Source organism: Homo sapiens, chromosome 12 (genome assembly GCF_000001405.40).
Source record: "Homo sapiens chromosome 12, GRCh38.p14 Primary Assembly".
NCBI lineage: Eukaryota > Metazoa > Chordata > Mammalia > Primates > Hominidae > Homo > Homo sapiens.
The window spans coordinates 127,183,801-127,210,384 of record NC_000012.12 but is presented as its reverse complement, the minus strand read 5'-3'; the positions used below and the strand labels follow the sequence as shown (position 1 = coordinate 127,210,384).

The 26,584-nt window shown below is 38.9% G+C and overlaps 2 long non-coding RNA genes across 2 annotated transcripts, besides 2 other annotated features; one reads left to right on the top strand and one right to left on the bottom strand.

Annotated features, from left to right (window-relative positions):
- Positions 1–428: 428 nt before the first annotated feature.
- Positions 429–4,139, bottom strand: LOC124903049 (uncharacterized). Its single transcript, XR_007063521.1, has 2 exons — positions 4,040–4,139; positions 429–3,671 (listed from the first exon to the last, which is right to left on the bottom strand). It is a non-coding gene; the product is annotated as an uncharacterized LOC124903049 (long non-coding RNA).
- Positions 4,140–4,457: 318 nt separating this feature from the next.
- On the top strand, positions 4,458–26,260 carry LOC105370064 (uncharacterized). Its single transcript, XR_001749391.2, has 2 exons — positions 4,458–4,721; positions 26,031–26,260. It is a non-coding gene; the product is annotated as an uncharacterized LOC105370064 (long non-coding RNA).
- Positions 9,264–9,464: a silencer, noted in NCBI's record as "peak2034 fragment used in MPRA reporter construct". NCBI's record gives its function as "represses an SCP1 promoter by STARR-seq MPRAs in K562 erythroleukemia cells {active_cell/tissue: K562}" and the evidence as "EXISTENCE:reporter gene assay evidence [ECO:0000049][PMID:32103011]".
- Positions 11,407–11,557: a silencer, noted in NCBI's record as "fragment chr12:127683373-127683523 (GRCh37/hg19 assembly coordinates)". NCBI's record gives its function as "represses an EF-1alpha promoter that drives an FKBP-Casp9 reporter gene in an ReSE screen in HepG2 liver carcinoma cells {active_cell/tissue: HepG2}" and the evidence as "EXISTENCE:reporter gene assay evidence [ECO:0000049][PMID:32094911]".
- Positions 26,261–26,584: the final 324 nt, after the last annotated feature.

Sequence of the window (26,584 nt, the reverse complement as noted above, 5' to 3'; positions counted from 1 at the left end):
CACGGGAGTTGCTACATTATTCTTGCATTTATAATAAAATATAATAAGGGGCCAAGTTTATGGTTCAACAAAGCAATATTGAGGTTAAGAACCCTCATTTTTCAATGTGAAGTGCTAAGCTAAACTAACATTGTAAAGATGGTGACTACAAATATGGAGGCCACAAGAAGAGTGACATTCCAAGAGGCTAAGCAGTGCGTGGGGATTTCTTTGGAGAAAGATGTCGAAATGTTATAACCCCCATTCCTCCCTGAGCTAGCAAGGGGGGCACTTTACTTTTACCTTAAGCTTGGAGTGAGATGGGTTTTTCCTTAATTTGCATTCTTCAAAATAAAAATCTGAGACCAGAATTCAAATACAAGTTCTTTATGCAGAAAGTGTGTCCCAGAAATATTGGTGGAGACCAGTGAGACAGAAAAGAAAGAGAAGCCAATAAAGGGTGGTTTATTTTTTTTCTTTTTAAATTTGAGATAAAATCCACATATCGTGAAATTCACTATTTAAAGCACACAATACACTTTTTAAATTATAGTCGTAGGTTTATATAACCATCACCGCTATTTAATTCCAGAACATTTCATCACCTTCAAAAGAAACCCTGTACCCATTAACAGCCTCTCTCCCTCCTCCTCACCACTGCTGGTACCCACTAATCTGCTTTCTATACCTATGAATTTGCATATTCTGAAAATTTCATATAAATTGAATCACTTTTGTTACCAGCATCTTTTGCTTAACATAAGGTTTTCAAGTTTCATCAATGTTATTAATTTTTATGGTTGAATCAGGTTCTATTATATGGACATATAACCATTTTGTTCTCTGTAAGTTGATGCATATTTGGATTGTTTCCAATATTTGGACAATATGAGTAATGCCCATGGACATTTGTGTAACAGTATTTTTTAAACATATATTTTCAATCATCTTGGTAAATACCTAAAGATTTCTGAGTCACATGGTAACTCCATGTTTAACTTGTTGAGAATCTTCCGTTTTTTTCTGAAGTGGCTGTAGCATTTTGTATTTCCATCGTCAGTTTTTCCACATTCTCACCAACACTTGTTAATTTCCATCTTTTTAATTATAACCATCTTAATGAATGGGAAATGGTATCTTATTGTGGTTTTGATTTGCATTTCCCTAATGACTAATGTTGTTGATCATCTTTCCATGTGCTCATTGACTATTCGAATAGCTTCCTTAGAGAAATGTCTATTCAAAGGATTTGCCTATTTTGTAAATGGGTCATTTTCTTTGTTTTCTTCAGTTGTCAGAATCCTTTATATATTCTGAATACTAGAATCTTACGAGCCAAATCATTTGCAAATATTTCTCCAATTCTATGAGTTTTCTTTTTAGTTTCTGGATAGTGTCCTTTGATGCACTATTTAAAAATTTTTTGAGGTCTAATTTATCTTTTTTTTTCTTTTTTGCTTGTACTTTTGATAGCATAACTAAGAAACTATCAACTAATCCAACACCAAGAAGATTTATGACCATATTGCCTTGTAGAAATTTTATGTCTTGGCCGGGTGTGGTGGATCACGCCTGTATTCCCAGCACTTTGGGAAGCAGAAGCGGACAGATCACCTGAGGTCGTGAGTTCGAGACCAGCCTGACCAATATGGAGATACCCTGTCTCTACTAGAAATACAAAATTAGCTGGGTGTGGTGGTGCATTCCTGTAATCACAGCTACTCAGGAGGCTGAGACAGGAGAATCGCTTGAACCCGGGAGGCAGAGGTTGAGGTGAGCCAAGATTGTGCCATTGCACTACAGCCTGGGCAACAAGAGCAGAACTTCATCTCAAAAAAAAAAAAAAAAAGAAAATTTATGTCTTAACATTTAGGACTTTCATCCATTTTGAGTTAATTTTTGCATGGGTTGTAATGTAAGGTCCAATTTCATTCTTCTGTATTTGGATATTTATTTATGTGACACCATATTTTGAAAAATAAAATTATTTTCTCCACTGACTGGTCTTGATAAAAGGATAAATTCCTCAAGAAAACATCACAATCCTGAGATGTATTCACTCACAATATAGCTGTAAAATATATAAAGCAAAAATTGTGTGCACAGGAAACAAAAATGGAGAAATTCATAAATGAACTTAGAAGCTTCAACACCTCACTAAAAAAGTGACAAGTAATTACTATATTAGACAGGAAATCAGCAAGTATAAAGAAATCCAGAAAAACATAACCCAACCTGATCTATATGAGATTTATAGAACATATCCCCTATCAGCAGAATATACATTATTTCTAGGCACACATAGGACATTTATCAATGTAGACTATATTCTAGGATATAAAACAAACCTTAAAAAACTAAAATAATTTAGATGATATAAGGTATAATTTCTTATTATTAAATAAGCAAATTAAAATCGGTAACACAATTTTTGGAAAATCACCAAGTCTTTGAAAAGTAAACAACACACTTCTAAATAACCCATGGATTATAAAAGAAGTCTAATGACACATCTAAAAATATTTTACTTAAATTAAAATTAAAAGACAACATATCAAAATTCGTAGGAAAGGGATAACACCTTGATAGAATTTTATATCATTAAATGTACACATTAGAAAAGAAACAATGTTCAAATCCATAATGTAACTTTTTCCCAAAAGAAACCAGAAAAATAAGAACAAGCTAAACACATATCTAGGAGAAAAAACACAATAATAAAGATGGAGACGCAAATTAATGAAATTCAAAACAGAACAAAAGAACAAAGTGAACTAGGCAGTTTCCTTAATTGCAGAATGCTCGAACTGTTAGCTTATTAGATATTTTATATTTATTTTATTTGTAATTTATAGATTATCTAAGGCATTTTATTTGACTTCTTCTTAGTTTAAATCAATTTAGTCTCCAACTCCTAAAGTCAAGGTGTATTTAGTGCATATATGAGGGCATATATGGGTGTATAGATGTATATTGAGTCTATTTAACATTGCTGCAGACAATACCAGTGGCTTTATGATATCTGTTTGTCAGGTCTCTTCCAATAACACATCAGATCAGCTTAGGTATAAAAGGTAATTTAGTGCCTCGTGTATTGGAAAGTTCCAGGCAGACTGGCTCAAACATGGCTTCGTCAAGTTTTTTAGCAGTTATCATGAAGCAAACTAGCAACTAACACTCCAAGGTGAACCACTTTAAAAAACATCATCTTCATAACAAGCAATCTTACAAAAAAGGAAAGTAAAATTCTCTCTCCCAGGATTCAGATCAATAATTGCCATAAACTGGGTTCACCGTGTAAGAATCCACATGACAACCCTGAACCACTCACTGATTCGAGAAAGTGGAGTCATCCAATGGGCCAGTCTCAGTCACATGTTCATCACACTGTAGGATTTAAAACCAGAGACCCTTGAGTGTAACAATCTGTATGTAAATTCCAGCTCTGTCACTTACTAGCTGTATAAATTTCATTAAGACACTACATTTACCCATGCTTCTATTTTCTCACCTGTTAAATGAGGTAAACAATGGAAATCACCACATAAGCTTGTTGTGTTAAATAAATTAATATTTTAAAAGAATTTAGAACAATCCCTGGAAGAAGTAAGAGCTACGTGGTTTTTACTAACTAAGGGAGCCACACATTTCACCACTTCACCAGAATCACATGGAGTTGGTAGACGCAGCACCTAAAAGGAAAAGGTGGAGTAAATAATAATTATGCCAACTGTCCTGTTTTATTGCTTAGGTATCATAGAAGTTGAATGATGTAAGGGCTTCATTTCAACAGTCAAACAATGTGAGGTTCAATAAGTTTAAGCTATTTGCCCAAAACCACAAATTTAACAAGCAGCAGAGCTTGAACCCAAGTAATAAATAAATGAAGATCTGTGTTCCATCTACACTAAACATCCCAAGTGACACCTGTGCCCCACAAGACTTTCAGCATAATGGGATTAAGACAAAAGCCCTAATTAAAGCAACAGCTTGAAATGTGACTCAAATGTCAACAGAAATGACTCCCTCCCTCTATAGATACAAGTAAATCTTTTACTACCTGTGAGCACAGATGAATCTTTCCTGTTCACATTGTCCAGGTTCAGCAAAAATCCATTAAGTCTCTGCAGAAGTTTCAGCTTGGAGAAAGTCAGCCTTCCCTGAATATAGAGATAAACCAATAGAGTCCCAAGGAGTCAATCTTCATTTTGTATGTGGTCCAACATTCCTCTCTAATCCTTTATAAAAACATGGTGGAGGGGCGAGTGAGGGTTAATTTTAATAGTTAACATGACTGGATTAAGGAATATAGAGAGAACTGGTAAAGTATCACTGATCAGTGGGTCGTGAGGGTGTTTCCAGAGGAGACTGGTGTGTGAGTCAGTGGATCATGTGGGGAAGACCCACCCTCAATGTGGGAGAGCATCATTCAAGCAGCTGTGGACTAGGATAAAACAAAAATAGAGAGAAAAGGGTTTCCTTTTGTTCTCTCCTGGAGCTGGGACACTCTTCATCTCCTGAACTTTGGACATTAGAATTCCATTCTCCCTGGCCTTGAGACTCTGAGACTTACACAAGCAGCCCCACCCAGGTTCTCAGGCCTTCGGACTCACATTGAGAATTACACCATCAGCTTCCCTGGTTCTGATTCTTTAGAACTTGGACTGAGCCACGCTACTATCATCCCAGGGTCTCCAGCTTACAAGTGTCCTGCCATGGGACTTCTCAGCCTCCATAATCATGTAAGTCAATTTCCTTAATATGTCTCCTCATATATCTTTCTATATCTGTCTATGTATCTACCCTATTGGTTCTGTTTCTCCTTACTAATACAGATGGGCACAAAAGAGACTAGAAGATTCTTAAAATATCCTCATCTCTATTTTCTGCACTTCCACACAGAGCGTTCTTTTATTATGGAACTACCATGCAAGTAAAATAATCAGTCAAGGGTCAAAATGCTCTCAATTTATCTAAAATGTATTTAGAAGTATGCCTTTATCATACTGCTCAAAATGGACTTTCTGTAACCAACTGGTAAAATTCTCTCAGAATGAACTTTGAAATTAGCTGCTTCATATTCTAATTTTGAAAAATCTGAATCCCAGAGGATTCCATGCAAGGTACTAAACATAGAAATATTTGAAAATTGTACTCAAAAAGAGGCAGGCGGATCACGACGTCAGGAGTTTGAGACCAGCCTGGCCAACATGGTGAAACTCTGTCTCTACTAAAAATACAAAAATTAGCTGGGCGTGGTGGCAGGTGCCTGTATTCTCAGCTACTCAGGAGGCTGTGGCAGGAGAATCATTTGAACCCGGGAGGCAGAGGTTGCAGTGAGCTGAGATTGCACCACTGCACTCCAGCCTGGGCTACAGGGCGAGACTCCATCTTAAAAAAAAAAAAGAAAAGAAAAAGAGTATTATTACTCATGGCTTAATTATCTCTAATTTGGGTTTGTATGGTCCCAGTTGTGCATATATATGTATATATATATGTAATTTCAGGTTGATAATAGTTGGTTAAGAATTATTATTGTTTAGGATAAAGCAGAGCGTGAACCCAAGTCCATACATAAACCAAAACCTGTGTTCCATCTACCACTAAACATCCCTAATGATGCCTGTGCCCCACGAGGTTTTCAGCATAATGGGATTAAGACAAAAGCCCTAATTAAAGCAACAGCTTTAAATGTGATTTAAATGTCAACAAAAACACCTCCCTTCCTCTATAGCTACAAGGAAATCCTGTACTGCCTGTGAGGACAGGTGGAACTTGCCCGTTCACATGGTATAAAGTCAGAAGCCGGTCTTCAGAAAATTAGCAGTGTTCTTTGTCTTCAATCTTGTATTTATTAATTTAGTTCTTTACCTGGCCCAATAGCCAGACATTGATTACTGAGCTATTGATGTTTGCTGAGTTCATTTTATGAAAGACCAATGGAACCATCTTCTTGAATAATAAAAAGGTACAAAATTCTCAATTTTAATGACCAAACTTTATCAGAAATCGCGTCTGTATGCTGTCTCTTCCGCTTCCCAGAATGCCACGTTTTAACCTGCATCAACAGCTGTCAGGGAAGGTTTAGAGAGTTCTGGGCAGTCAACATGAGGGTTTTTCTCCTGTTCGGCTCACTGTGTGTACATTGAGAACCAACAGCGTGAGCTTCTGCCAATCCTGCCATGCTAGAACTCTTCCTCGTTCACTTAAAAAAATTACAAAAGGTAACTCAACTCATGGCAGACATAAAGTCTAACCAAGCAACCTGGCTTCCAAGGTGAGGCAGGGTCAGTGAGTGTTTTTCTCAGCTTCTCTATAGCTTGTTGAAGGGAAATGCATTTTTTTTTCTCAGCTGTCACATTGAAGAAAAGTTGGACTATGCCACAGCTGGATTGGGACCAAATGCACGTCGACGGAGATACAGTCCTTAACTACAAATAAAGCAAGTGCTTCATGATAAGGAAAGTTGAAGCCTTCCTATGTGGTTTGGGCTTGTGTCCCTGACCAAATCTCACGTTGAACTGTAGTCCCCAGTGATGGAGGAGGGGCCTGGTGGGAGGTGATGGCATCATAGGGGTAGATATTCCCCCTTATTGCTGTTCTTATGATAGATTTCTCACGAGATCTGGTTGTTTAAAAGTGTGTAGCACTTTCCCCCACCCTCTCTCTCTCTTCCTCCTGCTCCAGCCATGTAAGATGTGCCTGCTTCCCCTTCACCTTCCGCCATCATTGAAAGTTTCCTGAGGTTTCCCAGCCATGCTTTCTGTACAGCCTGTGGAATAATGAGCCAACTAAGCCTCTTTCCTTTATAAATTACCCAGTCTCAGGTAGTTATTTATAGCAGTGCAAAAACAGGCTAATATATCATCTGTGTGTTATTTCTCCAGTTGCAAGGGGTAAGCAATAGCACTGCCTACCTGTGCAGGAGGGATTGTGGGGAAGAATGAGCGGAGGGAAAATGCTTTATGACCAGCAATGTTGCTTGAATCTGAGATTTTTACTTGCTACTCAGGAGTTTAAAGTCCTCTTCAACACTGACAGATTATCTCACCATCTCCTACCATTAAATTCGCTGCCAGCTAGAATGAAATACGGGTTCTCACAGGAAATGTGCCTTTGTTTCCTTTTAACACTCTATTATCTATCCCCATCACTGCCCTGCCAGGAATCTCCATTGGTAAATCCCACTTCCCATTCTGATGTCACCAGGAACTGTCTGTGTATTTTAGCCCCTTGATTGCCAGCCTCCATAGCTTTCACGAAGGGATAACGATGCTGGTTTTACCTGGTGTGTAAGTGATGGTTGTTTGTACTTATATCTGGAAACATGAGGCATTCAGGAAGAAATGGTCATAAGAGGACATTTTCTGTTTTGTCATTTACCCATCCCTAGGATATTTTTATTATCGAAATGTTTCAAGATGATGCATCTCCACACCCTATGACAACGAGTGAGAAGAGGGGCATAGAGAAGAGACTCTGTTCTTTAAAAAAAAAAAATAGCTATGGCCCATAAGAGGGATACATTATTTTTCCATATCCTACTTGCAAGAACTTAATCATGGGACTATATTTAGCTGCAAGAGAGGCAGGAAAATGCAGTGTTTATTCTGCATAGCTAGCTCAGACCGAGGATTTTGTTAGTGGAAAAGAGAGAGAATGAAGTTGTATGTGCTGGGGTGGCAGTTGCAACTAGTGACTGTCACAGCTACAGACCATGGGGCATAGGTGATTCCTCAATAAATATATGCTGAATGAGATTAATAATAATAATTATTATTATTAACATTAATATCTGACTCTGGTAGATATTCTCTGATCATAAACGAATAGAAAACATTTTTCAAACCACCCATTATGATTGCTCACATCTGCTTACATACAAAAGTGAATTTCATTGCTTAAGAAGTTATTTTGTACATACTGAGAAAGCCAATTTTGGAAATATCTCTTTCAAACATAGCCAAAGTTTCCCAGAGATTAAAGATAGTTTTCCAGATCATAGTTAATAGAACTCAGAAAATTTAACTATGAGCTTATATGATAGAAATTTCAAAACCATTTCCAATTGCCCTATTATTTTCATACACTATCAGCATGGCCACCACTGTGCCATTCAAGAAGGGATAGAATTTGGGGAACCAGGTGAATAACACTGAACCTCATGATTAGGGATGCTTTTATCAATGGTAAAATTGCAAGAGAGCACAAAGCTAAACACTGCATAATGGAACAATTGGACCAAATGTGTGCTTTCTTAATGTATGTTTAGATATAAACTCTGTGTCAACTCTCCCATCTTAAAAAGGAACAGGCCAGGCGTGGTGGCTCACGCCTATAATCCCAGCACTTTGGAAGGCTGAGGCAGGCAGATCACCTGAGGTCAAGAGTTTGAGACCAGCCTGACCAACATGGAGAAATCCCATCTCTACTAAAAATACAAAATTAGCTGAACATGGTGGCACATGCCTGTAATCCCAGCTACTCGGGAGGCTGAGGCAGGAGACTTGCTTGAACCAGGGAGGCAGAGATTGAGGTGAGCCGAGATCATGCCTTTGCACTCCAGCCTGGGCAACAAGAGTGAAACTTCGTCTCAAAAAAAAAAAAAAAAAAGAACAAAAATATAAAGCCTATGTTTAGCCAATATTTATATTCTTCTAGAGAGTCATCCTTTTCTCCTTTGAGTATAAATGCCAGTTTTAATTTGCGTGCCAAATTAAAATTTATTTCTATACATTTAAGAAATATTAAAATTTTTAAACGATAAGTGTAAAGAGGATTTTAACATCATTAAAATGCAGAAATAAATTACTATATAGGAATTACTTCTCTGATAAGCACATGACAATATTTAAAACATAAAAATACAAAGTAGCTACTTTGCTTAATCTAATTTACTTTGTAGTTTATCAGATTAATATTTTGATAGTCTGCTTGTTGCTTAAAAGCAAAGCAAACTAATTTGTGTAATTGTTGCCTTGGGGTTGGATAGACAAGTTTTTCCTATTAGTTATCTAGAAATGCGGCTTTCATATATGAACAACTGTGAATAACATTGGTAATCTTGTTAGCATTAAAAATTGGTATAGAATAAGAAATATTTCATTAACTTCTCAAAATATGCATATTTGGGAAGCAACAGTGATAACGTCAATGCTATTAGCTCTAGAAATGCCATCATAGTATTCTAAACTTGAGTTAAAACTTCATAATACAGTGCTACTGTTTATCCTGCTGATGGCCCTGACAGGCACTCTCAAGCAATCCTATCACTGTTTGAGGTAAAACGTGCTCTCAGAATTCCTCTCCTTCTCTTGCCCCAGGATGCCACAACAAGGAGATAAGACTATGCAGGGGAGCTCACCCTGATATGTGCTTCTGATCTCAGACAGTCCTGCACAGATGGCTTGCTCTGTCTTAGACAACTCAGTGTGAAAGCTATAAAATCTGGCCAGGCATAGTGCAGAGCTCACTTAGACCTAGGAGGTGGAGGCTGCAGTGAGCCATGGCCACGCCACTGCATTCCAGCCTGGCTGACAGACTCCATCTCTAAAAGGTGAAAGAAAAATTAAAAAGATGTAAAATTTCCCAAATAGGAGGCTCAGAACACATTAAGGTAAAACAGTTCCTTTAGTATAATTTCTCTTAAAAATGCAATAGTAACATATTTTTGTTTAAAAATATCAACAAAAATTACCTGGTGCCTTTAATCCCATCATAAACCTACTGCTGCCAGCTTAGTGTCCTTTCTCCCAGTTGGGGTATAGGGGCTAACAAGGTGCAAGCTGTCTGCTGCTATGTAGCTGGTCCTCCTGTGGGAGAGGTCAGCCGTGGCCAAGTAAATACATAAAAAGAATGGTACCAGAGAATATAAACACACACACACAAACACACATGCACACACATATGCCAATACATATGCCATGTGCATGTATATAAACTTTTATAAACTTGCTAACTTCCTGTGACGGTTGTAGACTTTTGGTATCTTATTACCTTCAGATACTTTCAGAAGTAAGGGTGAAGAGAACCTGGGTATCTTTCCAAGTCAAGGTTGATTTTAGAAAGTTGTGTGTAAATTTTTCAAGTGCTGGGCATTCGGCTGGCTACAATTTTTCTTGCTGTTTTCTAATTTATATCCATGGATGAGGAAACTAAGTCTATGGGATGATAGGAGCTAAGGACACATTGGAGAGGGTTCTAGTGATTTTCATTCCAACAACTTCTGTGGTTGATGACGGTGATCAAACAACATAAACATACAAAAAGATGAAATAGTTTTATAATGTATTGTATGGGAGGTGTTCAACAGCAACCCAATGCTGTGGAAAAGAAACATAAATGTGCAGTTAGAGAAATGTATTTTGAGTAGGGAGTGCAAGTGTGTTAAGTTATGCTGTTCACTGACTGCATCAATCATCTAGGCACCTCATTTAATTTCTATCAGTCATTCTCACCAGCCTTAATTTCCTCAGAGGAAGAGGCTGTCTTGTACATTTTGTGTCAGTCACTTCTAAGATAGTGTCTAGTAGGTGGATATGCTACATTAGTAAGGATGGGCTAGGTTATGCCCTTGTAACAAACAGCTCCACAATCTCAGCACCATAAAATATAAACAACATCACAAGAGATTATTTCATGTTTCTGCCACATATCCAACCTGGGGTTTTTGTTATTTGGAGGGAAGCATCCTTACTGTAGGGACCCACATTGACCAGAGGCTCAATCTCACCATGAGATCCAATGTGTACAGAGTTAGGGAAGAGTAGGGTAGAGAGTCAAGCCCCAGAACTGGTTTGTATGTGAGTTAATTCTCACATTTCATTGGCCAGAGACAGTTTCATGGCCATGAGTAAATATAAAGTGTTTTTAGGCAGCCAGCATTTGCCTCCACAAATACGTGTGATATCAGCAGCTTCCCTGTTCCAGGAACCATGCTGGATTCTGGGGAGGAAAGAGGGTGACATGAGCCCCACAAAAGAGAAATTTACAGTAATTTGAGTAGTTAACAGTCATTATTGGCCAGGCACAGTGGCTCACGCCTATAATCCCAGTGCTTTGGGAGGCTGAGGCAGGAGGATCACTTGAGCCCAGGAGTTCAACACCAGCCTGGGTAATATGGTGTCTCTGTCTCTACAAAAAATACAAAAAGTAATGATATGGTTTGGCTGTGCCACCCGTATCTCATCTTGAATCCCATAATCTGCATGTGTTGTAGGAGGGACATGGTGGGAGATAATTGATTCCTGAGAGCGGGTTTTTTCTATGTTGTTCTCATGATAGTGAATAAGTCTCATGAGATCTAATGGTTTGATAAAGGGCAGTTCCCCTACACACGCTCTCTTACTTGCCGCCACGTAAGATGTACCTTTGTTCCTCTTTCACCTTCCACCATGAGAGTGAGGCCTCCCCTGCCATGTGGAACTGTGAGTCTATTAAACCTCTTTTTCTTCATAAATTACCTTGTCTTGAGTATGCCTTTATTAGCAGTATGAGAACGGACTAATACAATTATCCAGGTGTGGTGGGTACATTTGTACTCCCAGCTGCTTGGGAGGCTGAAGCAGAAGAATCACTGCCAGAATTTTGAGGCTACAGTGAGCCATGATTGCAACACTACACTCAAGCCTGGGTGACAGAGCGAGACCCTATCTCTTGAAAAACATAAAAAATAAAACAGTAATTCTTGAGACAACTTATAGTTACTGCAAAACATTCACCATCCCACAAATATTTGTGAGGGTCACTTTCTACTAATTAGTCATTGGGAATACAGTTGTGTACGAGGGGCAAGATCTCTGCTGATATGGAGCTGATATTCTGTGGGAGTGGTCAACTGGGCATGGGTAAATGAAAAAATAAGATGGCTTCAGAGGGTTAAAAAAAAAAAACCTGGGCAGGTGCAGTTGCTCACCCCTGTAATCCCAGCACCTTGGGAGACCGAGGTGGGTGGATCACCTGAGGTCAGGTGTTCAAGACCAGCCTGGTCAACGTGGTGAAATCCCCTCTACTGAAAATATGAAAATTAGCCAGGTGTGGTGGCTGGCCCCTATAATCCCAGCTACTTGGGAGGCTGAAGCAGGAGAATCACTTGAACTTGGGAGGCAGAGGTTGCAGTGAACCGAGATTGTGCCATTGCACTCCAGCCTGGGTGAGAGAGTGAGACTCCATCTCAAAAAACAAGCAAACAAACAAACAAACAACGACAAAAAAAAAAAAAAGGAGACAACAATTGGAGAACTTTACTCCAATTATTTCCATCACTTTACTCCAATTATGAAGTTATGAAGTAAAAAAATCACTTTTTACTTCATAACATCACTTTTAACTTCATAAAGTGAAGTTATGGTGCTGCTTTAATTGAGAGTCTTCCAAGAAGGGCTCTCTGAAGAATGGACATGTAACAGAGACCAGGAGAATGTAAAAGCCAGATGTGCTAACCTAAAGGAAAATAATTCCAGAAACAGGGAACAGGAAATGCAAAGGCATTGCCTGGAGTGTTTGAGAAAGGTGAAGAAACCCATTTTTTGGAAGGTGAAAGAGATGAAGATGGATGGAGTAGACTGGAGAGGCTGACTACAGTTGATGGTGTTATATGCATTGAGAAACTCATGGGTAGGTTTTTATGCAAGAGAGTGAGGTAATGTAGTTTAAAAAGTCACCATAAATCCTGTGTGGATAATGGATTGCCAGGACAAGAGTAGACTTGTGGTGAACTTAAGAAGCTACTGCAATAGTCCAAGCATAAGAATAGGTGAGCAAGGAGTAGGGTGGTGGAAATTAGGTGGAGAGAGGAGGGCATTTAGTGGCTGGAATAATAAAACTTGTTCCAGCATTGGATATGAGGGTAAGGAAATTGCAAGACTGAAGGATGACACACAGACAAACTAGCAAGTGGCAGAATAAAACTAAAGGGACCTTCAAGACGTGCTGTGGATGCACAGAGGAAGGAGTGTGGAGGAATTCCATGCCACAAAATTATAAGGACTCCCAGACCCCAGGACTGTGACTGAAGTTGGAAGAATGGCCGGTAGAACGACTGACAAGCCCAGCACAACACAAATGATGTCCCCATTTTGCCCTCAGCAGGCACTAGTCAGAGAAGAGGACAAGGTAGGAAAATCCATGGAGAAAGGATAGAAAGACCCTTGCCCCCTTGGCCACATTGTCAGCTCCTCAGAGGTCCCCTGGCAGCCTGCCCTGTCCTCTCCTCTCCTCTTTGGGCCCCTGGCTCTTCTCATTCTGCTCAGGACGGATGGCAGCTCGTTTGCAGGCACAAGCTGAGAATCTGCATTAAGAGTCTGGGAGAGATTGTGGGATGAGACTTTAGGAAGTAAAGAAGCTCACAGGAGAGATATCAGGGCAGAAGAGTATAACAAGTTCCAAATAAACACCAACAGCCACCAGAGAGGAGACTTAAATTACTTAGGTGAGACAAGTGGAATGACAGGAATAGCGACTGTGGTGTCAGCAGAGCAGATCCTTTGGCTGGCTGGAGCAGCTGCACACACAGCTCAGATTGGGAACATGAGCTTGGAGTTACTACATGTTTCTTCTTTTTAAGAGAAACTGAAATATAGTTTTTTTTTTTTTTTGAGACGGAGTCTCGCTCTGTCACCCAGGCTGGAGTGCAATGGCGCGATCTCAGCTCACTGCAACCTCTGCCTCTGGGGTTCAAGCCATTCTCCTGGCTCAGCCTCCTGAGTAGCTAGGACTACAGGCACGTGCCACCATGCCTGGCTAATGTTTTGTATTTTTAGTAGAGTTGGGGTTTCACCATGTTAGCCAGGGTGGTCTCCATCTCCTGACTTCATGATCCACCCGCCTCGGCCTCCCAAAATGCTAGGATTAGAGGCATGAGCCACCATGCTCAGCCTGAAATATACATTTTTACATGTTAATTACAGGGGTTTTTAAAAAACATTTCTATTTTTATTTTTTAAACTTTTGTTTTAGATTCAGATAGTATATATGCAGGTTTGTTACCTGGGTATATTGTGTGATGTTGAGGTCTGGGGTACAAATCTCATCACTTATGTAGTGAGCATAGTACCCAATAATAAGTTTTTCAACCTCTACCTGTCTCCCTCCCTCTCCCCAATGTCTATTGTTGCCATCTTTGTGTCTGTGTGTACCTAATGCTTAACTCCCACTTATCATTGAGAACATGTGGTATTTGGTTTTCTATTCTTGTGTTAATTTGCTTAGGATCATGGCTTCCAGCTACATCCATGTTGCCATAAGGGACATAATTTCATTCTTTTTTATGGCTGTTTAGTATTCCATGATGTATATGTACATTTTCTTTATCTAAACCACCAATTATGGGCACATAGGTTGGTTCCATGTCTTTGCTATTGTGAATAGTGCTGTGGTGAACCTACAAATGCATGTGTCTTTTTGATAAAATGATTTATATTATTTTGGGTATATACCCAGTAATGGAATTGCTGAGTTGAATGGTAGTTCTGTTTTTAGTTATGTGAGAAATATCCAAACTGCTTTTCACAGTGGCTGAAGTCATTTACATTCCCACCAATAGTCTATAAGCATTCCCTTTCTTTTCTCTGGAGCCTTACCAGCATCGGTTGTTTTTTGACTTTTTAATAACCACCAATTTGACTGGTGTGAGATGATATCTCATTGTGGTTTTGATTTGCATTTCTCTGATGATTACTGATGTGGAGCATTTTTTCACATGTTTGTTATTCACTTGTATATCTTCTTTTGAGAAGTGCCTGTTTGTGTTCTTTGCCCATTTCTAAATGGGGTTATTTGTTTTTGGCTGTTGATTTTTTAAGTGCCCTCCAAATTCTGGGTATTAGACTTTTGTTGGATGTATAGTTTCAAATATCTCATTATGTCTTTACCACGTTTTGGTATCAAGATGATGCCGGCTTCACAGAAAGTTCAGGAGGAGTCCCTCTCCTCTTTTTTGGAATAATTTCAGAAGATTGGTAGCAGCTCTTTTTCGTATGTCCAGTAGAATTTGGCTGTGAATTCATCTATTGTGGGGCTTTCTCTTGGTTGATAGGGCTTTTTTAAAAATTACTGCTTCAATTTTGAAACTCGATATTGGTCTGTTCAGGGTTTCTATGTTTTCCTGATTCAATCTTGGGAGTTTGCATGTTTCCAGGAATTTACCCATTTCCTCTAGATTTTCTATTTTGTGTGCATAGAGATGTTCATAATAGTCTCTGAGGCTCTTTTGTATTTCTGTGGGATTGGTTGTAATTTCACCTTTGTCATTTCTGATTGTGCTTACTTGGATCTTCTCTCCATTTTTCTTTGTTAATTTAGTTAGTGGTTTATCAACTTGTTTATCCTCAAATTTTGGCTTTCTTGACTCTTTGTAAGGATTTTGGGGGAAATTGGTCCACCTCACTTTAGCACACACACTATTGATATCTAAGAATCCATAGAGTAGTCTCTTTTCTGCAGAAAATGTCATTGTCACCAGGGGATTCTATGGCCTGGCCAATTTGCAATCACTGTCTTGCTATAGTTATTAACTCTAGCCCTTTCATTTTCAAAGGCATCCCAGTTTGAATGATAAAGTGTTTGGTCATCTTAATTAAGTTCTTTTACAGTCCACCTTTCTCAATGGATTTAACCTATCACTTGACTAACAGGCTATTCAGACACAGGTAGTCTAATGAATAAGACTGGGACAGCTGCCCTTGACTCATGGCCCAGGCTTTGACCTTGAGCAGGGTGGGGTGTGCAAAAGGAAGAGGCATTAGGGCCAGAATGCCTGAAAGCCCTGGGCAGCAGGAGTTTACTTCTGCAGTGCTCAGAGGGGCTGAACTGCAGGCTTCAGGCTGGATAGGCCACTGGGCTTTAGGTCCGGGAGAGCTGTACAATACAAGGGCCAATATTCACCAAGAGGGTAATGTTTTTAAAAAGAGAACAAAGATCCAGCTTCTCCTTAAAACCTAGCCTGGACTTCTATTCTCTCGGCAAGGTAATTAGCAGTTCCAGGCATCCAGTGTGTGGTTTCTCCTAAGTGCTTAGCCAAGCATACCTTAGCTGAGCTGGAGACAGGGGGAAGGAGGGAAGGAGGGAAGGTTGGGGGAGGGAGAGAGAGAACATGTGTGCATGCCCATAGAAGTGCAGGCATGCAAGTGTCCTGAGCTCTTTCCGTTTCTTGGGGGGTAAGAGCAGCCAATCAAAGACACAAGCCAGAAATGGAAGCATTAAGCCTTCAATCACTTACTGCCAGGGTATAAGCAAAAGTCTAAAACCAAAGAAAATGCCTACTCCCTCTGTGTAATTTTCCCCCATGGAACTTCAGAGTAGAGTGCAGGAAGACTACATACCCCTGTTGAGGGAGCCCCCCACAAAAGGCTCCTGAAGTGTTATGGACCCTGGGGCCTGTGGAGGAGGAGGAGGTATAGGAGTGGGAAACAGCTGGGCACTGAGTCAGAATGGAAGCATCTCACCATTTCCCTGCCTCTCTCTGACCCTCATAAGGAGGACCAGGCAGAGGCCTCTGAAGAAGACCTGGGCCCATTGCCTCAGATCGAGACCTAAACATGGAGTCACTCGGGCTGGGAATGGAACCATGAAAAGGCATGGTGAGCCAGGGAGGTCTGAGGACTGGAGTGCAGCTCCCTTCAGAGTCTGCAAAGCACTAGCTATGCCCTAAAGCTGGTTTGAGGGGAGCAGCTTCCCCCACCCCAGTGAGGCCTAGCAGGGAAAGCCTTTATAATTGTCTTGTAATTGTCTGCGGTCAAGGCTTAACCTACTGTTCCAAGTTGTTGTTGTAAGGTAAGGAATCACAACGCCCCCTGTTAAAACTCTCAAATGATAATGTGGTTATCTACAGCAGCAAGTCTCAACCTGAGGCCATTTGCTCCCCAGGGAACATTTGGCAATACTTGGCAACATTTTTTATTGTCCAAGCTTAGGAGAAGGCATGACTGTCATCTAGTTAGCAGAGGTCAGGGATGCTGTATTCTACAGTGTACAGCACAGCTTCCTGCTATAAAGAATTATCCAACCCTAAATAGCAATAGTGCCAAGGTTGAGAAACCCCACCTGTAAGGTATGGCCTTATTGAAATGATAAGCAGGCATCTCCAGGTGGAAGGAACTGACAGATTAGCTACTCCAGGATCCTGAATACAGAGATGGAGGCACAAGGAGTTGGGTGACCTGCCTAATGCCCTGTAGACACTTGGTGGTAAGCAGGGTTCAGACTGAAAGACAGGAGCAGGGAAGTCTTGCAGGCAGTAGTTGAGACTCTAGTCCAACAGTAGAAGAACAGTGTGGCTAGATACAGCTGAGAGGAAGCACACTTGGAGGTCTATATTCATGCTGGGGTCAGTGTTACCTCTGCAGATGTGCTAGCTTAGGCGGGCAGCTGGGTGAAATCTGAGGAAGGAGTGATGACGGTGCTGGGGTGCCGTAGATATTTTTTCAAGATTCTTCCTTGAAAATATAAGCTTCACAAAGATGTCCCACCCGCATGAGGGTAGGGGAGGTGTCCATTCCTGCTGTCCTCAGAAGTATAGGCAAAGCAACTAATTCTGCTCTCATCTTGCCATTACTTTTGCAAACACTAACTTAGGTTCTTCAATATCTCTGAAAGAGGAGAAGATGTGATAAAGTTACTAGGCAATGGGAGATCACATCCTCTTTTCTAATTATTCAGTGTGATCTATGGATCTAAGTTTCCATTAACTTTTTGCATTAGCTACTATCTGCCACCATCTTGCACTGTTTAGAAAGTTTGAAATTTCATTTCCGTTTTTCAAAAAAAAAAAAAAGAATTTTGATTATAATGATTGCTCAGGGCCTGGCAGGAAAACATTGCACAACTCCACAATGTGGAATCATAATCGGTCCTTACTCATAATTTTCCACAAGTGATCTATTTAGATATACATTTTAAAAAAGGAAATACATTGATTATTTTGCTCATTTCGTTTCTGGTAGATAGTGCTTACATTTTTGATTAAAACTTTCCATGATGAAGGCAGAGAAGGAAATGGACATAGAAGAAAAAAAAAACAAGAAGGATAAATACTTGTACATTAGCAGTTTTGTTAAAAAGCTGTCCGTAAGGATAAAAAAAAATAAAAGCAGCAGGGGAAAACTTAACAAATATAAATTGCAGCCACCTGCTTGCCTATTTCCAAAGGAAATGATTTTGTGAAGTATAAATCAATTTCTTTGAATAAGCGTTGTTGCAGTCTTTGCTGCTCAAGCTTTAACTAGTGTTTCTTACCACTAACCTTGCCCAGCCATGTTCTGTGTGAACAGCAGGAGGTCACCTGCAAGTGGTCAGCTTTCGGGGTCAAAACGTGTCCAGCTGATACCATTTAAAGTAACACCACCATTGTCCAGATTTAGAGAAAGCTGGAGAATCCATTGTGCTAATGGATTATTGATTTCAATCCAGCGGCACATTTATAAGTTGTTGATTTGGCCTGTGACTAATTACAGAATGGTGTATGATGCTGAATGAGAGAGGAACAGAGCTACAGTGAGTCCTAAGCTTTAAAGTTGTATCTACAGGGTTGTGGTTGAGCTCACATCAGAGGCATCAGTCTGTAAAATATACATTTATCACGTCAACTCAGGAGTAGGACCAATCAGCAGGAAAGCAGAGAAACTACATCTGACTATTTTGTATTTTTGATATATTTTGGAAATGCTATTTGTAAAGAACATTATTTCCCTGGATGGTAGAAATTTCATCACATTCCATTTTTAATCTCATCTGTATTTTCTACTTTTTTACTTAAAAATATCTATGTATTAAAATATTTTCAAATGAATAAAAATGTTTTGCAAAAGAATAGTGCTCACTAATTTGCAGAGGAGAAGTTGAAGTTCCACCAGCTAGTAACATAATTGCTCATATATCAAACCTCTGGCTTATTGGAATGGAAGCTGATGGAAAAGCCTGCTCTTCACTGCTGTAATTAGTTTGTGTCCATTTCTATCCACCCTTATTGGCTCATGCCTCACATGACATCATATTTTTTATTCTCCTAAAAGTTGCAAATGCATGAATCATTGCTGAGCAGCTTCACATATACAGCAGAAAAGTCTGAATGAGTTTGATTATTATTTCCTGGTGTCTCTCATCAGAGATTCAGCTATTAATGTAACCAAAATAAGCTCATGTAGGCTTGATTGCACATGAGCGAATTCCACATCATGTCTGAGTCATCCATGATAAATGAATGCAGTTTTTGCAAAGTTAGTACCACTACAATACGTGGGTTTTGCATATCATTGTTAAGGATCTATTTGACTTGATTGTGAAATATTTAATTGTGGCAGCACTTCAGTGAACCACCCCAATCAATGACTTAAATGACTATGAAAAATGACTACGAAAAATAATTTGTCACTAAATGATTGATTTAATCTGGAAAACTCAACAGAAATTGTAGTAAAATTACATTTGCTTTTGCTTTTTTTGTTTTCAATGTAAAAGAAAATTTCCTCCTTCTACCTAAAACTGCCTTCCAGGTTCTTGATTTGCACAGGGGATCTTGAAAGAATTCTATTTGTCCACACTTTGAAATTAAAGTTTATTAAAAAATATTCTTATCATTTCACTTCTAAACATCTCCCTTTGGCAGCTAACAGAGCAATGTGGCATTATGGTAGTCATGTTTAATACAAAGAGCCAATTTTTAGGTTAGAGGTGACCAGAAGGTGAATCTCTGGGAAATCTCAAGTTTAGATTAAGAAAGTAGCTAATTTTCACCTGTATTGCTTTTCTTTGTAAGGGAAAAAGGATAACCGCGGTAATTTTAAAAATAATTCACTGGTGCTCATTAATAGGACCTTTTCACAGTCAAAACTCCCAAACGAGCACTTTCTTCATTATCTCCCACCCAGCAGAAAACCAACTTGTGCCCAAAGCTGTTATCCTCCTTTGGCCAACACCAGCAGCCATTCTCACTGTCTCCCAGTTTCCTAAACCTGATGTTATTGGGCCAGTCATATTCCCAACCCAGAGGATCTAACAAGACTGGTCTGATCGTTACTGCAGTGCTGTTCCCAGTGACTGTGGGGCCACATCTGACTTATTTCTGGACAATGGGACATAAGTCAGAACTGGGAGCTCTGGAGAAAAATCCTTCACTTATTTTTTTTAATGCATAGGCTATCTTTTTCTCCTGTATCACATTCAGTACTGCATTGTATGCTGTCTGTGATGATGTGATGCCTGGAGCTGAGGCAACCCCTTTGGGACTGTGAGGCATTGAGCATTAGAGAGGAAATAACAAGTTGAGCATGTTAGAGTGAAACAGTGGAAGGAGCCTGCATTTCTAATAACATCTTTTAATTATTACTAAGCCAACCATGAGGTAGCCACTACCGGACATTTCATTAAGTGAAGAACAAATGTCTTTTTGTTTTAAATCACTCAGACTTAGGTTTTCTGTTGTTTATAGTCAAACACAGCCTAGAAGATATACCTCGTCTGTCATAGATGACATTCTACCAATTGCATTCCTCTTTTATCTGAATCCCCAGACAAAAGGGTAGCTGCTCCAGGCAGGAACTCATGAACCCAACTCAACCTGATGCTCACCCTTCACCACCCATTTTGTTCTTCCCCTAAAAAAAGCAGGTCTGCTGTGGAAACTATGGGTCCATGGAACACAGTGTGACAACGACTTATCTATATTAAAATATAACAGAAGCATTGTGGTAAACTCTTCATACTGATGATTGCAGCCTGGGGCCTTATGAGGCTTCACATTTATATAAAATCAATCCTATAAAACTATCTTTACTATAATGACATTGTCATGCAGGCATAAGAAGTGTTAGAGCAGAAGTTCAAGCTGTGTCTGGTTCTATCAGTGTTACCAGTAATGTTTAATAGGATGGTGTAGCATTTTAAAATTCCACACCATTAATGGCTCATGATTAGTTTAGTGTACATAGTGTTACATTACGTTAAAATGTTGGTGACCCAAATTAATAAGATAGTTCCCTTATTATCTCATTTAATCTTTATGAGAAAACTATATTTTTAGGTATTTTAGTTGCCATTTAATGTAAATACATATGATGATTTATTTTTAATGATTGTGTTTCCCACATCTGGATATAAAAACTCATGCCATGGTAATGAATCCCCAGCTACCAGTAGCCCCTTATTAAATTTGATATGTACTTGGTGTGAGCTAAGATTGTCTTTGTGTGAGATACATATTTAATAGACAATAAATATTGACTAGGACCACAACATTAAGTTAAAATGATGAGACAAGATAAAAAACAGAGATGTGTAATCTTCAAAAGAAGGCATATATTTGATGGTTTTCATGGTCTTACAAAACCTTGTTGGCTATCTAGTTCAAATAACCCTTTCCTTAAGATAACTTATAAAAATGTCTTTTATCTTTTTCTTTCATATATACATACATATATGCATGACCGTATGAATGGTGTATATATACATAAATATAATTAGAAAATATGTATGTTTATATATTTTATGTGATATATGTATAATTAGAAAAAAGGGCACATTTTTCATTATTCTTTTATAATATTTAGCAACATATTCTTGAGCATAGATGCATCTCCTTAGGTGTCACATAAAATCAGGAATTATTTACATTTTTTTATTTGTTTCTAAAACTTTTTTAATGTAATCCACTAAAGGGTAATATTAAAGTAAAATATGCTCACATGTGTTCTGGTGCTAATTAATTAACAAATGAAACCTTTTTTTAATATGTAATGGTCACAGAGGGGCACAGTGTGGAATAAGGAAGCCAGTCCCTGCCTCTCTGCCTGTGCAGGCTACGGGAGAGAGATAGTCCCATAACCATATGGAAAATTACAGCACCTACAAGTCTATGCAGAGGAGGACCATGAAATGGTGGAATTGACACACTCCAGGATGTTGGGATGGCTTCTGAGGACCTCACATTTGACTTGGAGCCTGAAGGATACAGAAGCATTTACCAGGTGAAAGCAGGAGTTGAGGGTTCAGAACAGAGGGAGCAACCTATGCCAACGTCCTGGGAAAGGAGAGAGCATAGTGAGTATGAAAGACAAGGCAAGGCCAGCGATGCACAAAGATGAGTGTGAATGGGAACTTGGGGACCTTAACCAGAGAGAAAAGTGGGAATTGGGCTACATGGATTTTTGTCAGCTATATCAAAGAGCTTTGTCTTTTTCCTAAGTCAGCGGGAAGCCATGGAACCATTGCCTGTCTTGTTCGATGTTGGCTTTTGAAATAATCTCTCTAGAATTTGTCCGTACATTTTCTGAACTTAATTTGCCAAACCCTTGCTAAAGCTGCCAAATACAAGGTTCTGGGTAGGTATGGTAGAGCAAGGTTTAGATCCTGTTTTTGAGAGTTTCGAGAATGCCCTCAGCGACAGATTCATAGACCAGTGACAATGAGGCTATAGGACAGTTGAACACACATTGCCATAGATGCCTTTTGAAACGATCAATAAATTAGAAAAGGCAGGTTATCATGGAAAGTAAAAACTAGACATAAATCTGAACAGTGTCTTGATGGATAACGACTAGAATTAATAACACTCATTGGGATAGGATTATAGGAATTGCCCATGAAGTGACTTCATTACTTCATCACTATAACAATCCTAGAAGGATGAAACAGCGTTCACACCCATTTCATAGATGTCAGGAAAGAGGGCCCAGAGAAGAATAATGATCTGTCTAGATTCACTAAACCTGTAAGAGGCAGAACAAGAAGTCACTCAAACCCAGGCCACTGCTGCCCCAGACTGTCCAACCATGCCCAGTGGAAGTGGTCAAGTGAAACCCCACGATATCATTGGTGTATGGAAGGTGTCATGCCTTGGATTGTATCCGCAAAAAAAGAAAAAAAAAACTGTTAAAGTTCTAAATCCAGTACCCCAGAATGTGACTTTATTTGGAAATAGAGTCCTTTCACATATAATTTGTTCTGATGTAGTCACACTAGAGTAGGAGGAGCCCCTAATCCAATATGCCTGGTGTCCTTCATAAGAAGACAGTCGTGGGAAGACCCAGGGAGAAGGTCTGGTGAAGATGAAAGCAGAAATTGGAGTGACACATCTCCAAGCCAAGGAAGGTCAAGGGTCTCCAGCACTCCCCGGAGGCTACAACAGACCTAGAGAAGGTTCCCAGCACAGCCTCAGCAGGAACCAACACTGATTTCAGAGTTTTGGCCTCAAGAACTGTGAGAAAATGAAGATCTGTTCTTTGAAGCCACTTTATTTGTTGTATGTTGTTAAGGCAGCCCCTGGAGTCTAACGGAAGGTGAAAGGGTATGGACCAGGAAGACCAGAGTGAGGCCTTCAGAGGCTCATAGGGGCTCATTTCTGGAGAGCCTTGATTAATTCTCAGGGTCCGAGGAGCAGGCAAGATCTGGAATCAGAGGAGGCAAGTGACAAGCTGTGTTCACTCTGGCAGGTGCCACAGAGGAGGCTGGTTCTGTGTGGTGTTTCACATGCTGTACAGAATTTATGCATCTTTTGTCAGGTTTATTCCTCTCTTACACATATTTTTATTCCATTTTAAATGCTAGCCGTTTCTTTAAATTTGAATTGTCTATTGCTAATAGACATACAATGGATTTTCAAAATATTGTATCTGGCAACATTTTAAAACTCACTGATGAGTTCCAGGAGATCTTTTGTGAAATAAAGACATATTTTCAAGTCTTTTCCTTCTGTTTTCTTGCCTTATTTCTCTGAGTAGAATCTCCTGGACAATGTTGAATAAACTATTAGTCAGAGCTGGCATCATTGACTTGCTCACCACCTTAAGGGTCTTTTATCTCTGAGTAAAAACTACCGCTAAGTAAAACTGTCTTTTACCTGTAAGGATGATATTAGCTGGAGTATTTCTGTAAATATTCTTTACTCACTTGGGAAATCATTTATTTCCTATTACAAGTTTACTGAGTATTTCTTGTTTGTTCATTTGCTTTTTAACAGAAATAGATGTTGGATTTTGCCAAATGCAATTCCTACTTTTTAAAAAAATAGTTATATTTGTTTCTGTTTTTCAGTCTGTTAATAAATTTATCCCTGATTGATATTCAGAAGTTAAAAAACACCTTGTATTACTGGAGTAAACCATACTAGGCCATGATAAATTATATATTGCTTATATATATTATTGAATTACGTTTTGTTCAGAACTTTTGCATCTATATTAAGGATATGAATCTACAGCTGTCATTCTTATTTTATCTATGGCAGATTTTGGTATAAAAATAATGCTGCTCTCATGGAATTCATTGGCCAGTAAATGTCTTCTCCTCTTCAGTTTTCTAGAAGACATTGAGTAGAATTGCTATTATTTATTTGTATATTTATTTATTCTTAACATTCTTAACATATGGTAGAATTCACCAGTGGAGCCATCTGGCTGCTTTGTGGGAAGGTTTATCTTAAATTTCTTTAATAAACTCAGATATTAATTTTATATATTTATTTCTTATTATCTGAGACAAAGTCTCACTCTGTCGCCCAGGCTGGAGTTCAGTGGCACGATCTTAGCTCACTGCAAACCTCACCTCCCGAGTTCAAGTGATTCTCCTGCCTCAGCCTCCCAAGTAGCTGGGATTACAGGCACACACCACCATGCGTTGCTAATTTTTGTATTTTTATAGAGATGAGGTTTCTCCATGTTGGCCAGGCTGGTCTTGAACTCCTGACCTCAGGTGATCCACCCTCCTCGGCCTCCCAAAGGGCTGGGATTACAGGCGTGAGCCACCACACCTGGCTTAATACATTTATTTTTGAGTGTGCTTTGGTAGTTTGTCTTTCAAAGAATTTACGTATTACAACTAAGTGCGTGCATTTATAGGCTTGGGGTTCACCATGTTTCATTTTTATTATTTTACCGTCTGTAGAATCTGCAGCGAAATGACCTCTCTAGTCCTGCACATTGCCAAGTTCTGTCTTCTCTCTCTCTCTTTGCTTCTTGGTAAATCTGACTGAGGGCTTTCAATTTTTCTTAAAGAACTAGGTTTTTTTTCTTTAATTTTTATCTATTGCTTTTCTCTTCAATTTTATTGGTTTTCACTTTGATCTTTTTTCTTTCTTTTCTTCTGCTTACTTTGGGTTTTATTCGCCCTTCTTTCTTATTTCCCTTTCTCTGTTTGGGATTATTTCTGAAGGTGAAAGTTTAGGTCATTAATTTGCACCCGGCCCTACTTCTTTTCTAACACAGACTTTTTTTCCAGTAAATTTTGCCCAGGTACTGCAATAGCTCATGCCTATAATCCCAGCATTTTGGGAGACTGAGGCAGGAGAATCACTTGAGGCCAAGAGTTGGAGATCAGCCTAGGCAACATATCAAGGCCCTGTTCCTACAGAAATAAAAATTCAAAAAATAGCTGTGCATGGTGGCACATGCTTGTGGTCCCAGCTACTCTGGAGGCTGAAGTGGGAGGATCACTTGAGCCCAGGAATTGAGGCTGCAGTGAGCTGTGACCATGCCACTGCATTCCAGCCTGGGAAGCAGACCAAGATCCTATCTCAAAAAAAAAAAAAAAAAAAAGAAACAAAAACAACTTTTCTGATTTTGGCAGAGTCACACAAATTTTCATGAAACAACTTTTCCCAAGTAATGTTTTAGCCATGTCCTACGAATATTGATATGTTGCATTTCATTTCCATTTCATTCCATTTAATTCAAAATGCTTTCCAGTTTCTGATTTAAGTTTCTTAAAATTGTGCTGTTTGATTTCCAAATATCTGGAAGTTTTTTGTAGGTCTTTCTGTTACTGATTTCTAATTTATGTCCATGTTGGTCAGATAATAAAATTTATATTATTCAAATCCTTTTAAATTTCTTGAAGCTTTATTACGGGCCAGAATATGTTCTATATTGGGAAATGATTCATGAGTACTTGAGAAGAATATGTGCGCTGATCTTGTTAGGTGGAGGGTCCAATAACGATCATTTGAGTCCAATTTAATTGAGTTGTTCAAGTTTGTTATACTTTTGTTTATTTTCTATTTGTATCAATAATTGAGAGAGTGTCATTAAACTAACTCTTCCTCTCTCCCTTCTGATTCTAATTCACAGATAGATGATACCAAAGCGGCCAACGAGTTTAAAACTCTTTTTGCGCAGTAGGAATGACTCCATGAAGATTTCTCATCATGGAGCCCAGACTAGATGGACCCAAATCTCCAGACTCCCAGCTCTTCTGTAAACCCCATCCTGATTCTCTGAGTCTCTGAATCTTTTATCCTCATTTTCTTCCCAACTGTCCATAATGTAGAATTTAAATAAAAGATTAAATGTAATCTTTATAACATTATTATATTATTGAACAGTTTCAGGTTTCTTGTTCTTATTTACAAAAAACTAATAAGTAGAAATTTTATACTTCTCTGAGCATAAAACTATACAAAATAAAAATTATATAAAATTAATTTGATTTTCACTTATGAGGTCTATAATTATTCCCTTCATGGTTAATTATCCTCAATAGGAAACAAATGGTTTCCTACCTTCTTACTAAGTTACAAAACTCTCATTTATTAATAATCATTTATATTAATAATAATTACTAAATTGAATATGCCAGCTCTTACCAGATTTATGCTAGACTTTAATAAGTCCCTCTCTTCCCA